At 42.1% G+C, this 12500-nt stretch overlaps 1 protein-coding gene across 10 annotated transcripts in view, besides 3 other annotated features; it reads right to left on the bottom strand.

Annotated features, from left to right (window-relative positions):
- The window catches only part of GPSM2 (G protein signaling modulator 2), a 57561-nt gene extending 52987 nt beyond the window's left edge, over window positions 1–4574 (bottom strand). For 7 of the 10 annotated variants that reach the window (XM_017001097.3, XM_017001098.3, NM_013296.5 and 4 more), the window contains exon 1: window positions 4331–4574. The gene's annotated coding sequence lies outside the window, so the exon portion shown is untranslated. Of the gene's footprint in view, window positions 1–3784; window positions 4029–4330 lie in introns of all 10 variants that reach the window. The other 3 variants (XM_047418723.1, XM_011541302.4, XM_047418724.1) reach the window with 1 other exon arrangement.
- Window positions 4179–4248: a silencer, noted in NCBI's record as "silent region_1139". NCBI's record gives its function as "represses an Ori minimal core promoter by ATAC-STARR-seq in GM12878 lymphoblastoid cells {active_cell/tissue: GM12878}" and the evidence as "EXISTENCE:reporter gene assay evidence [ECO:0000049][PMID:35858748]".
- Window positions 4339–4738: a silencer, noted in NCBI's record as "silent region_1138". NCBI's record gives its function as "represses an Ori minimal core promoter by ATAC-STARR-seq in GM12878 lymphoblastoid cells {active_cell/tissue: GM12878}" and the evidence as "EXISTENCE:reporter gene assay evidence [ECO:0000049][PMID:35858748]".
- Window positions 4819–4918: an enhancer, noted in NCBI's record as "active region_1431". NCBI's record gives its function as "activates an Ori minimal core promoter by ATAC-STARR-seq in GM12878 lymphoblastoid cells {active_cell/tissue: GM12878}" and the evidence as "EXISTENCE:reporter gene assay evidence [ECO:0000049][PMID:35858748]".

The raw sequence follows: 12500 nt of genomic DNA, 5'->3' as shown, positions 1-12500 counted from the left end.
TAAGAACTCTCTAGCCAATTTAGCAATAATGTGTTCACTCATGTTCCTCATTACATGGAGTTAACAAACCTACTTCCTAGATACAATGTGTGTGTATATAGTGTAAGACTAGTAAAATTTGCAACAAATATTAAATTACAAATTTGATCATTAGGATAAGAAAATTTAATCACAGGACGAAGAACTGGAAAATAATTTGTAGGTTTGAAAGGATATTGAGAAGTCATCAAGTTCAACCTCCAACCTCCACTACTATTTACAACTAACAATCTGCAAGGAACAAATCTGTCTCTTAATAGCATCTTCCAAGCAATGCTCCAAAAACCTCAAAATTAACAAAATTGCTAGATCACGGCATCTAACCATAAAGAAAAGGCAATCATTTTTTCCATATCCCGGGAATTGACAGAGACATATAGAAAGATCAACTAGTACATAACTCTAACTGCCTCACATTTAATTATCTGATTAGGAAGTCAAAATAGACAGACTCCCTTTAGACAGCTAGGTGGACTTCCAGGCACTGTCCAAGGTATGCAATCAGAGCAGACAAGAAAGGCTAGCTCTTTATCAAAGAAATCCTAGCCCTGCTTTACTCCACTGGCAGTAAAAAGTTTGCAAACCAGGTTACATTTTGTGCTTCTTCGAATTTATCTAAACTATCTGATCCTGACTGCCACTTAAATGCCAATAACTTTTGGTCTGTTTCTTTGTTTGTTTTTGGTCTGTTTCTTCCATCCATGGATCTACACAAACTGGTAACATTCATCAGACAATAAATATAATTTACTTTTCTTGCCACCAGGTTAGATCATCTGAACTATATATAAACCTTTTTGGTAAGCATAGCCATTTATTATTACCAACGATGGTCCAGTCATCAGCTTCAATCAATTAATACATATACATAATTTTAAAGCTCAATAGTGAAATAGAAAAGAAATGGTCCTTTCCACTAAGCATTGTTTTTTTTTTTTTTGAGACGGAGTCTCACTCTGTCGCCCAGGCTGGAGTGCAGTGGCGCCATCTTGGCTCACTGTAACCTCCACGTCCTGGGTTCAAGTGATTCTCCTCTCTCAGCCTCCCACAGGTGCCCAGCACCACGCCTGGCTAATTTTTGTATTTTTATCAGAGACAGGGTTTCGCCATGTTGGGCAGGCTGGTCTCGACTCCTGGTCTCAAGTGATCCGCCCACCTGGGCCCCTCAAAGTGCTGGGATTACAGGTGTGAGCCACTGCACCTGACCCAAACACATTTTAAAGCAGAAATAAATCCCAAATGCAGAAATATTATAAATGCTTAGAAAGGGTCCCTAGAGAGTTTGAGTTTAGAATTCTCCATAGGAAAATATATTAAACATGATTTTGTCTTCTCTTCCCAAAAGTTATCACCATTCTGTGGGAAAATAAATGTTTCTATTCAATAATGTTTTGTGATAATATGGGAATAATAATTCTAACTGAAAAGGACCAGGGAAAACTTTTTGGAAGCAAGGAATTTTGTACAGCACCTTGAAGGATGGGTAGATCTTATTAGCCAAATGAAGGAAAGGCATTCCAGTCAAGGGAAAAGAATGGCTCAAGAAAAAGGGAGGGTAGAAATGCACAGAATGTGTTCCAGGATAAGCACACAGTATTCAGAGTAGTGAAAGAGAAGGCTGAGAAGGTAGAACAGTAACAAACTGTGAGGGACTCTGAACATGTGGCAGAAGCATATATTCATATTCAGCCCCCCCTTTTTTTTTGAGATGGAGTCTTGATCTGTCACCCGGGCTGGAGTGCAGTGGCGCGATCTCGGCTCACTGCAACCTCCGCCTCCCTGCCTCAGCCTCCTGAGTAGCTTGGATTACAGGCGTGTGCCACCACACTGGGCTAACTATTGTATTTTTAGTACAGACGGGGTTTCACCACGTTGGTCAGGCTGGTGTTGAACTCCTGACCTCGTGATCCGCCCACCTCGGCCTCCCAAAGTGCTGGGATTACAGGCGTGAGCCACCGTACCCGGCCTCAGCCTTTTATTTACACAATGGGGAACCTTGCTGGTATTTTTTCCCCACAAAGGAATAGCCAAGTTGGATCTCTGCTAGGAAGATAAACCAGCAGCAACATATAAGGCAGGAATGGGGAGAAAAGAAAAATACTACAAAAACTCCAGAAACAACTACTGAATAGGAAGCATTTTCTTGTCATCTCACAACACCAACGACATTGCTTTGCACATAAGAGAGGCCCAACAAACTTTAATTTCTTCCCTGGGAAGAAGACAGGAATTATGACGAGGCCAAAGAATCCTACAATAGTGAGAAAACCGGACTGTAATACATTTCTTCTCCACAGTAAAGATTCTATTCATATTTATGTAAGAAACTCAGAAAAGTCTTACTCTTCACTTATGTTTTGTATAAAGATGATTAAGAAGATATTGAAAATATAATGTGATTTATAAGATGATTTATAAAATAATGAAGCAAGATAGTTCCAACAGAAAGATTGAAATATTTCTGCGAAGCTACAACAAAACACAGCACCTAAAGGCATCTTTAAAGTAGAACTTGTCCCTACAAATGGAATCCAGAGACACAGCAGAGATTTAAACAGACACACAGAAGCAATACAGCATGTGCTTTGGGATCAGGCCATGATTTGAATCTCGGCACAGTGACTTATTAGTTATATGATCTTACGCTAAACTCTCAGTTGGTGTGGGCATAATGACACTTACCTAAAATGTGCTGTGATAATTACAGACATGATTTATAAAGCACCTGACCCAGCACCTGGCTCTGATACATAACAAAAGTACTCAACATAGTGCTGTAGTAATAACAGTAACTGTTATTATAAAATAGACATATTTAATATATATTCAAATAAATTTAGAATAACCTAAATCTATGTCAGATTTTCCATTTTAAAATTCCAGAGAACTAATTACAAATTTCTAAAGATAGATCTTAGAAATATTTTATGTTTATGAAAAGGTCATTTTTAAAACTACTATATCTTATCACTGTTTTAATTAGTCTAGTAAGCAAGTCTCAGATCTATATTAAAATATGTTTGTAACACCGAATATCTGATTTAAGAATGTAAGAAAATACAATTAAACTGCTTATCTGGCCAGAGAGGATTTTGGAGACATGCCTCTACAACAACATCACACAACTTTTTACTTTGAAACCGCTCCAATACTTAAATTATAAGTAATAGCCTGGGAAATAGCTTGCGAAAACGACTCCGTGGTAGTTGTAAAGAGAAGTAGGTGTGAGACCACCCCTAATCCCTGAGGCCCCCCTCTCCTTACACACACCATGTCAACCAACAGTGATCTACCCTTTTTAATGTTGTTTATTCACTTCTAAACAATCAACTAAAGCTGCTCCTGAATAGTGAGAACCCAATCAAAAGTGGTATTTATCAGAAGCAATCACACCGGCTATTATCAGGCCAGAAATCTTCGGTACACCCTTCTAAAGTGGCAGCTTGAAAACTCAGCTCTGTTGGTCCTGCTGACTTCCAACACACCCCACGAACGCTCCAATGCAAACCCGATAGAAAGGAAAGCCAAGAACCTACTTCGTTTAATTCTACGGTGTGGTTAAATTATGCATTAAGGCCAATAAAATTTCCATCCTTACTCGTTTTCTTTAACAGAGTTCAAATGCTACTAGTTCAAATGCTCTAACTGGTTACTATTAAAACAAGGAAATTACAGATTTTTTTTTATTCGAAGGTATTCTATAGATTTCAGGAAAGAGTTTTCTTAACGTTTTATGTTTACTTACTCTTTTTGCAGCAACTACCAATTTCTATGGTAAATCGACCAGTTGGTGCCCAAAAGTTCACTAATTTAAGCACGGTCAAGGCAGGTATTTGCCATAAACTGCCTGGTTTAGGTAGGACGCGCCCGACTCCAAGTGATTGCAATCAGCCTCGGAATGAATTCCACGGGGATTCGGGCTTTGATTCACAATTTGTTACTCACATTCAGAGTGGTAAGAAGTCGCTGGACTCTAGTATAGTTTTTATCTTAAAAAAAAAAAAAGACTCAGGAGTGAGGCTCTTAACGCTTTACTCTCATTTGAAGACCTTCCGACAAAAAAGCAGCAACTCCTCAAGCCGAGTTTCTGGTTTCTTGAGCATCGACGCCGCGTCCCCGCAGCGCCCACAGGTCCCGCAAGCCCCCAGCCCGCCTCCTGCCCAAAACAAAGGACGTCACCCCCAGACCTCTGGACACAGAAGCCCCACACGCACGCACACGCACCCCTCCCTGTCACCTCCCTCCGAGAGCCCCTCAAACGCCTCAGAACCCGCGTCGCGGAAGCGCTCACCTCCCGCGGGCGGGCGGGTCCCGGGTACGCGGTGAAGGTGCAGCGGCGGCCGCCTCGGGCGACAGACGGGTGGTCACGGCCCCTCCCCAAGGCAGGGGCACCGCAGGAGGCCGGCGCGCCCCCTGCTCCCGCCCCCGGCAGGTCACGTGGGCCAGAGCTCGTAGCGCCCCTCGCTTTCCCGGAGCGTCCCTCCGCCACCTAGGGGTCCCGCCGCTCCGCCGGTCTCAACACCGCCCTCCTCTGCGCCTGCGCCCCGGCTCCAGGCGCTCTCATTCAAACCGACAACGCCCCGCGTCTTTCGGACCGGCCAATGGCGGGCGGCGCAGCGGGGCGGGGCGGGGCGCTGGTTGCCCCCCTCTTCGCAGTCCTGGGGAACCGTCTGCGTGTCAAGGTGACAGGGGGCTTGGGAGCTTGGTCCTCCTCTGCTCCGGGACGTGTCCTCAACCCTCAGACTGAAGTTTCTTTCCTGTCCTCTTCTTTCTTCTTCAGACACTAAAAAGTAGAGCAATAAATATTGTCTAGAGTTGGCCGGGCGCTGTGACGGACGGCTATAATCCCAGCACTTTGGGAGGCCGAGGCGGGCGGATCACCTGAGGTCGGGAGTTCGAGACCAGCCTGACCAACATGGAGAAACCCCGTCTCTACTAAAAATACAAAATTAGCTGGGAGTGGTGGCGCATGCCTTTAATCCCAGCTACTCAGGAGGCTGAGGCAGGAGAATCGCTTGAATCCGGGAGGCGGAGGTTGCCGTGAGTGGAGATCGCACCATTGCACTCCAGCCTGGGCAACAAGAGCGAAATTCCATCTCAAAAACAAAACAAAACAAACAAACAAAAAACATCGTACAGAGTTCAGATAGAGGCTGGCCTAGATCCCTTTAAAAAAGGAGCGCAAAACCAGCGCCGCCTTTTTGGAAGACTTGGTGCTGCGCTACAGAATGAGTGTCCCAAGCGGCAGATGCGGGATATAGAAGAAAAAGAGGCCTCTGTGGAAGGAACAGAGGGACCGTGTGAAAGTCTGAACAAGGCAGCCTCAGTTCTTGAGGCTGTGCCCAACCCTGGCGTTTCCAGCTGTTGGAAAAGCAAACTTCTGTTGACTACAGAATCGCTGGTTCCCAGGAAAATTGGGTGGCAGTTTTACTCAGTTTCACTCAGTTTCAGCGCCTACATTCTAAAGACACTGGGAAGAATAAGTTTTATTTCCATTCACCTCTCCTCCATGTCAAGGTGACCCCAAAATAGTAGTCACCTTATAGTTTGTTCTTCACAAAATACCGGCCGGGCGCGGTGGTTCACATCTGTAATACCAGCAACTTTGGGAGGCCGAGGCGGGGGGATCACCTGAGTTGGAGACCAGCCTGGTCAAAATGGTGAAACCCCGTCTCTACTAAAAATACAAAAATTAGCCGTGCCTGGTGGTGGGCGCCTGCAATCCCAGCTATTCGGGAGGCTGAGGCAGGAGAATTGCTTGAACCCAGGAGGCGGAGGTTGCAGTGAGCCGAGATCGCGCCACTGCACTCCAGCCTCGGCGACAGAGCGAGACTCCGTCTCAAACAACAACAAAAACCAAAATACCAAGACCAGAGTCTCTCTGGGGTAAAGCATCTGATGAATTTACTTAGATTATTTTTCAAATAGATATTTCTCTTCTGAAATGAAGTTTAAATGTTTCTACAGGGTAAAGGCTATGTTAAAGAAAACTCCGGGTTCAGTATCTCCGTGAATGATGGCCATAACCAGTGATCCAAGCAACATTTCCCATTAGGTGCATGTTATGGCAAATTGCTTAAAGGAACAGCTTTATCATCAAACTAGACCTGGGTTTGAGTTCCAATTCTGCTACTTACTTGCTGATTGACCTTGAATGAGTTATCTTCTTTAGTCTTAGTTTCCCCACCTGTAAAACATAATAAAGCCTCTTCTAATAAGGGTTGCTATGATGCTTCTGTGAGGTAAGGTTGTTAAGTGGTTGACATAGGGCCTGACACATAGAAACTGCTCCATACTTGATACCTATTATCGTTACAACCATCTTTAATATCAGGTTCTTGTAAATAACAATGGAATTGGTTGGCTGTACTGTTTCAGAGGTAGGTATTAATTCCTTCTTAATTATAAATTCTTTTAAAGTATGGATACTGTGAAAGCCACAAAGGAAATTTTATATATATAGAGAGAGAGACAGGACCTCCCTCTGTCACCCAGGCTGGAGATCACTGCACAGCAGCCTCAACCTCCCAGGGCCAAGTGATCCTCCGATCTCACCCCTCCCCTACACCCCAGTAGCTGGGACCACAGGAGCTTGACACTATGTCTGGCTATTTTTATTTTTTCAGTAGAGAAAAGGTCTCACTATGTTGCCCAGGCTGGTCTTGAACTCCTGGGCTCAAAGGATCCTCCTGCCTTGGCCTCCCAAAGTGCTGAGATTATAGGCATGAGCCCCCTCACCCAGCCAGAAGTACAACATTACATTCAACATGTCCAGAATTATTTACCCCCTGCAAATCTTCTCTTACATATGTGATTTCTATCTCTGATATTAGTTACTTCCATCTTCCTAATCACTCAAATTGAAAAATATCTTTTAAATGGCATAAGTCAGATTATGTCACTCTCGTACTCGTAAACCTTTAGTGATTTCCCATTTAATTTAAAATAAAATCCAAACTTCCTGTGGGGGAAAAGGCCTTAAGCCATCTTGCCCCTGCCAATTTCTCTCTTCTCTCCTATTTTTTCCTCCTGCTGCCTCACTTTCCTCCAAGTACACAGGGCATTCTTCATGCCCTAGAATGGACTAAGCCTCAAGGTTCTCTCAGGACCTCCTCCCTGCCTAGATTTTCCCCAAGCTCTTTAAATGGTTGGCTTCTTTTCATCCTCAGCTCTCAGCTTATTCATTACAGTATTCAGCAAGTATGTATTAAACTTCTGCTGTGTGTCAGGAGCTGTTCTAGGTACAGGGAATATAGTAGTGAGCACAACAGAACACAGCCCCTGATCTCTTGGAGCTCAACAAAAATAAACAACAAGAAATATCAGGACTGGGTGTGCTCACACCTGTAATTGCAGCACTTTGGGAAGCTAAGGTGGGACGGCTGCTTGAGGCCAGGAGTTTGAGACCAGCCTGGGCAACATAGTGAGACCCTATCTCTACAAAAATAATTTTTTTTATTAGCCTGGTGTGGTGGCACACACCTGTAGTCTCAGCTACTCGGGAGGCTGAGGCTGAGGCCCAAGAGTTCAAGTCTCCAGGGAGCTATGATCCAGCCACTGCACTCTAGCCTGGGTGACAGAGCCAGACCCTGCTTCAAGAAAGAAAAAAGAAAAAGAAAAATATCAGGTTATGATAGGTACCATGCAGAGAGTTACAAGAAGGGTGATGTGAGAGTGAGTAAGTGACTACTTTACTTCAGATTGGGGGCTAAGATAAGGAAGTCCTCTCTGAGAAAACGGCATTCAAACTGGGATTTGAATTATGAGAAGGAGCCAGCCTTCAAGCAAACTTCAGGGAAAAGCACATTAGGAAAAGGCAACAGCCAGTGCAAAGTCCTGCGAGGATTTTGCAGGATTTGAGAGCTTTGTGGACTTGAGAAACCGGAGGAAGGCCACTGTGGCTGCAGTGAGAAAGAAGAAAACATACAAAAGGCAATGTAGACCTTTGTAAGCCAGGGTAGTGAGTTTGGACTTTATTTTCTAAATATTATAGGAATCCTGTGGAAGGTTTTAAATATGGGAATAACTTCATCTGATTTATATATATATATATATATATATATATATATAAAATACGTATATATATATATGTATATATATATACGTATATATATATATATATATATATATATATATCTTTTTTTTTTTTTGAGATGGAGTTTTGCTCTTGTTGCCCAGGCTGGAGTGCAATGGTGCAATCTCAGCTCACTGCAATCTCTACCTCCAGGGTTCAAGCAATTCTCCTGCCTCAGCCACCCGATTAGCTGGGACTACAGGCATGTGCCACCATACTCAGCTAATTTTGTATTTTTAGTAGACAGGGTTTCACCATGTTGGTCAGGCTGGTCTTGAACTCCTGACATCAGGTGATCCGCCTGCCTCGGCCTCCCAAAGTTCTGGGATTACAGGTGTCAGCCACCATGCCTGGTCCTGATTTATATTTTTAAAAAAGCACTCTGGAACAAATCCAGAATTTGAGACATTCTGCAACTAGCCCAGACTCTTTATAAATGTCAATGTCATGAAAAACAAAAAGGCACATTAGTCTTGCTGGGGATCCTGGATCAGAGAGAGAGAAAGACAGAGAGAGAGAGAGAGAGGAAGGGATCTGTTTAAAAACATACTGTGATCTGCTCCATAACATTTATGTTTAAATGCCTATTTTATGCCAGGCACTTTGCTGGATGCTGGGAACACAGCAATGAAGTTTTTACCACATCACTTCCACAGTACTAGATGAAACCCCCTGGTGATCACACTGCTGACAGGCTTCCTTGACCATTTTCCAGTGTGTTGGAGTAGGGGGAGAGCACTGATAATGTACATAGCCTCACAACATGTGGGGTTGTTAGGATAGGCCAAACTTTGCTTTAAGATGAAACCAGGGTGGCTAGACTTCCCTGAATTATAAACGACCACACTGAATCAAGGCAAACTTGAATAACCAAGTAAATAACATTTGTTGCTTCCCTCCCCCAACAAAATCTATCAGAGTAACAGTGCTCCCTTGACTAAAAGAAAGAAGATTGGTTGTGTAGTTTCCTCAGCAAGAATGTGGACTTGATAACTCCACCTTTTAGAATAAAAGGAGATCCGGTGCGGTGGCTGATGCCTTTGATCCCAGCACTTCAGGAGGCTGAGGTGGGAGGATCGCATGAGCCCAGGAGTTGGAGACCAGCCTGGGCAACATAGTGATACCCTGTTTTTACAAAAAAATAAAAATTAGCCTGGTGTGGTGTCATGTACCTGTGGTCCCAGCTGCTTGGGAGGCTGAGGTGGGAGGATCACTTGAGCCCAGGAGGTCAATGCTGCAGTGAGCTGTGCTTGCGCCACTGCACTCCAGCCTGGGCAACAGAGCAAGGCCTTGTCTCAAAAAAAAAAAAAGTGTGTACATATATATACACACATACATATGTATCTATATATGTATGTACATATATACACATATATAGGTGTATGTATATATATAAAATAAGAATAAAAGAAGGAAAAAATGAGAGTGTGGAGTAGGTGAGTGAGTAAGAGCTTTCCAAAGGAATAGCTAAGAAAAAGAGAATGGGAAGGAGACTTCAAAATGCAGGGAAACAGCCTACTAACATGCCTAATCTCTCATGTGAAATCTAGAGTAAATCAGTAAATAATAATAGCTAAGATTTATTGGTGCTAGATATATGCCAAGCACTAGTCTAAACTTTTTTCATGTTTGAGGATTATACCTGGACATTGACTGATGTAAAGACTAAATGAATTAATACATATAAAGTGTTTAGAACAGGGCCTACCACATATAAGTGCTAAATTTTGCTATTATTATTATTTTAACTATAATCTCCACGGCAACCCTATGAAGTAGGTACTAACATCATCCCCATTTTACAGTATCTTAGGCTGGTTTCCCTAGAAGCCAATCCTGAGATGGGATTTAGACCCTGTAATTTATCGAGGGAGGGCTCTTTAGGAGGAACCCATAGGGAGAGAGTGAAACAGGATAGGGAAGGGGAAACAACCAAGAAAAACGGATCTTAGGAAATCCTAGCCTTGATCTGCTCTATTGAGGGAGGGCTCTGGAATCTAGAGCATAAACCAAACTGCAGAATTAGCCCCATCTTACACAAAGGTGTTTGTACCTTTGTATCAGGATAAAGTGGGGCGTAACTGCACCCCCCCAAGTGTGGCTGCCTTCCCTAGTGTAGACTCTCCAGAGAAAAAGGCACCTGTGAGCTCTAGCAGCCAACCTCACAACAGTGGAGAGACAGGTGTACTGGCCAGTAAAGCGTATCCAAACAGGGCACCTAACATAGCATCCACCAAGGCTAGTAAATGGTAGAACCAGTCTGTCTCAGGAGCCATGCTTTTACTTTCTCTATATATACTGACTTTTAAAAATTCAAAAGGAAAATGACAAATGGAGACCTATGTTACTGATAAAGAGTTAATACTAAATACTTAGTATTTAAATGAAATTACCTTACAGTCTAACCTCTTACAATGAAATAACCTCAAAGAAAAAAAGACAACAACCCAATAGGGCAAAGGACAAGGACCAGCACTTAAGTGACCACAATGAGCTCACTTACAAACTTCAGCTTCATTATTATTTAAATAAATGCAAACTAGAACAGCAATGGGACTCCTTTTTTGCCCATCAGACTTCAGATTTTAAAAAATTATGTTACCCATTGTTGCTGAGGATGTGATGAAATGAGTCCTCTCATAAGCTGAGGTCGGAGCTGCAACTAAGTATGACCATTTTGGAGGGAGATTTTGTAATATGTGTCAAAAGCCTTAGTACCTCTTGACCGAAAAATTCCATTTTTTAGGACTTTACCTACATTAACAATCAGGCAAATGTGCAAAACAAATGCACCAGGATGCTTATCACACAATCACTTTTAATATTCAAACATTTGAAACCACTTACCTGTCCAAAAGATTGGTGAAAACAATCAAGTCATCCATATAGTGGAATATTGCGCAGCAATTGAATTTATTTGCTAGCTAAGATAGATGCATATTGGTTGACATGGAAAGGTATTCACAATGTATTGGATTCAGTTCTTTTAGGAGCAGGTTATAAAGTGCTATAAGTATTAATGTTTTCTAATATGTTTTACAATGAACATGTATTACTTGTAATTAAAAAACAGTTATATTGTAGATAATAGCTAAATATGCAAAGGACAGAGATAATTCACAAATGAAGAAATAAAAATGGACAATAAACATGAAAAATGTCCAACTTCATGAATTATTGAAGTACTACAAATTAAAACACTAAAATACCTTTTTTAATTAACAAAGATTTTTAAAAATATTACAATTTAGTATTGCAGAGAGCATATCAATATATTATTCCCACACTGTTGATGAATATATGCTTGTAATCAATTTTGTTTTTATATTAAGAGCATTAAAGTACTTACACTCTGTCCTAATACTTTCCCATCTAAGAATCTATCCTAAAGAAATAATTAGAAATACAGACAAGGATGTTTTACTGTTGGGTTATTTTAAAATATTGAGGCCAGGTACAGTAGCTCACTCCTGTAATCCCAGCACTTTGAGAGGCTGAGGTAGGAGGATCACTTGAGTCCAAGAGTTTGAGACCAGACTGGGCAACATGGCAAGACCCCATCTCTACCAAAAAATTTAAAAATTAGCTGGGTGTAGTGGCACACGCCTGTAGTCCCAGCTACTCGGGAGGCTGAGGTAAGAGGAAGGCTTGAGCTGTAATTATGCCGCTGTACTCCAGCCTGGGTGATAGAGCAAAAACCTATCTCAAAAACAAAAAAAGAAAATGTTGAAAACTTGGATATACCCTAAATGTCTGTCATTAGGGAAATGATTATAGTATAGCCATGTAGTGGATATAACTATTAAAAACAAATTTTCATTTCAAAGTTTTTAATAATGTGGGGAAATGTTCTTGACATTAGGTGAAAAAAAATTGTATAAAATTTTTTACATATTATGACCTCGAAACACTAGAAGCAATTATGCTGAAGCATTGTCTTTCTATACTTTCCTCGATTTTTCACATTTTCTACAATAAGCAGATAAATATAAAATATAAAAAAGTTAAAAACTGGCTGGGCGCGGTGGTTCACGCTTGTCACCCCAGGACTTTGGGAGGCTGAGGCGGGTGGATTGCTTGAGTCCAAGAGTTCAAGACCAGTCTGGCCAACATGGCAAAACCCCATCTCTACTAAAAATACAAAAATAAGCTGGGAGTGGTGGCACATGCCTGTAATCCCAGCTACTTGGGGGGCTGAGGTGGGAGGATAACTTGAGCCTGGGAGGCAGAGAGTGCAGTGAGCTGAGATCACGTTACTGTACCCCAGCCTGGGTGACAAAGTGAGACCCTGTCTCAAAAAAAAAAAAAAAAAAAAAGTTGAAAACTAAGAAAAACCACTGTGAATTTGTACATATTTCCCACACATGCCTCTCTCTATCACTTCCTT

Source organism: Homo sapiens, chromosome 1 (assembly GCF_000001405.40).
Source record: "Homo sapiens chromosome 1, GRCh38.p14 Primary Assembly".
NCBI classification, from domain to species: domain Eukaryota; kingdom Metazoa; phylum Chordata; class Mammalia; order Primates; family Hominidae; genus Homo; species Homo sapiens.
The sequence above is the reverse complement of the archived record's forward strand: the minus strand, read 5'-3'. Positions and strand labels throughout refer to the sequence as shown.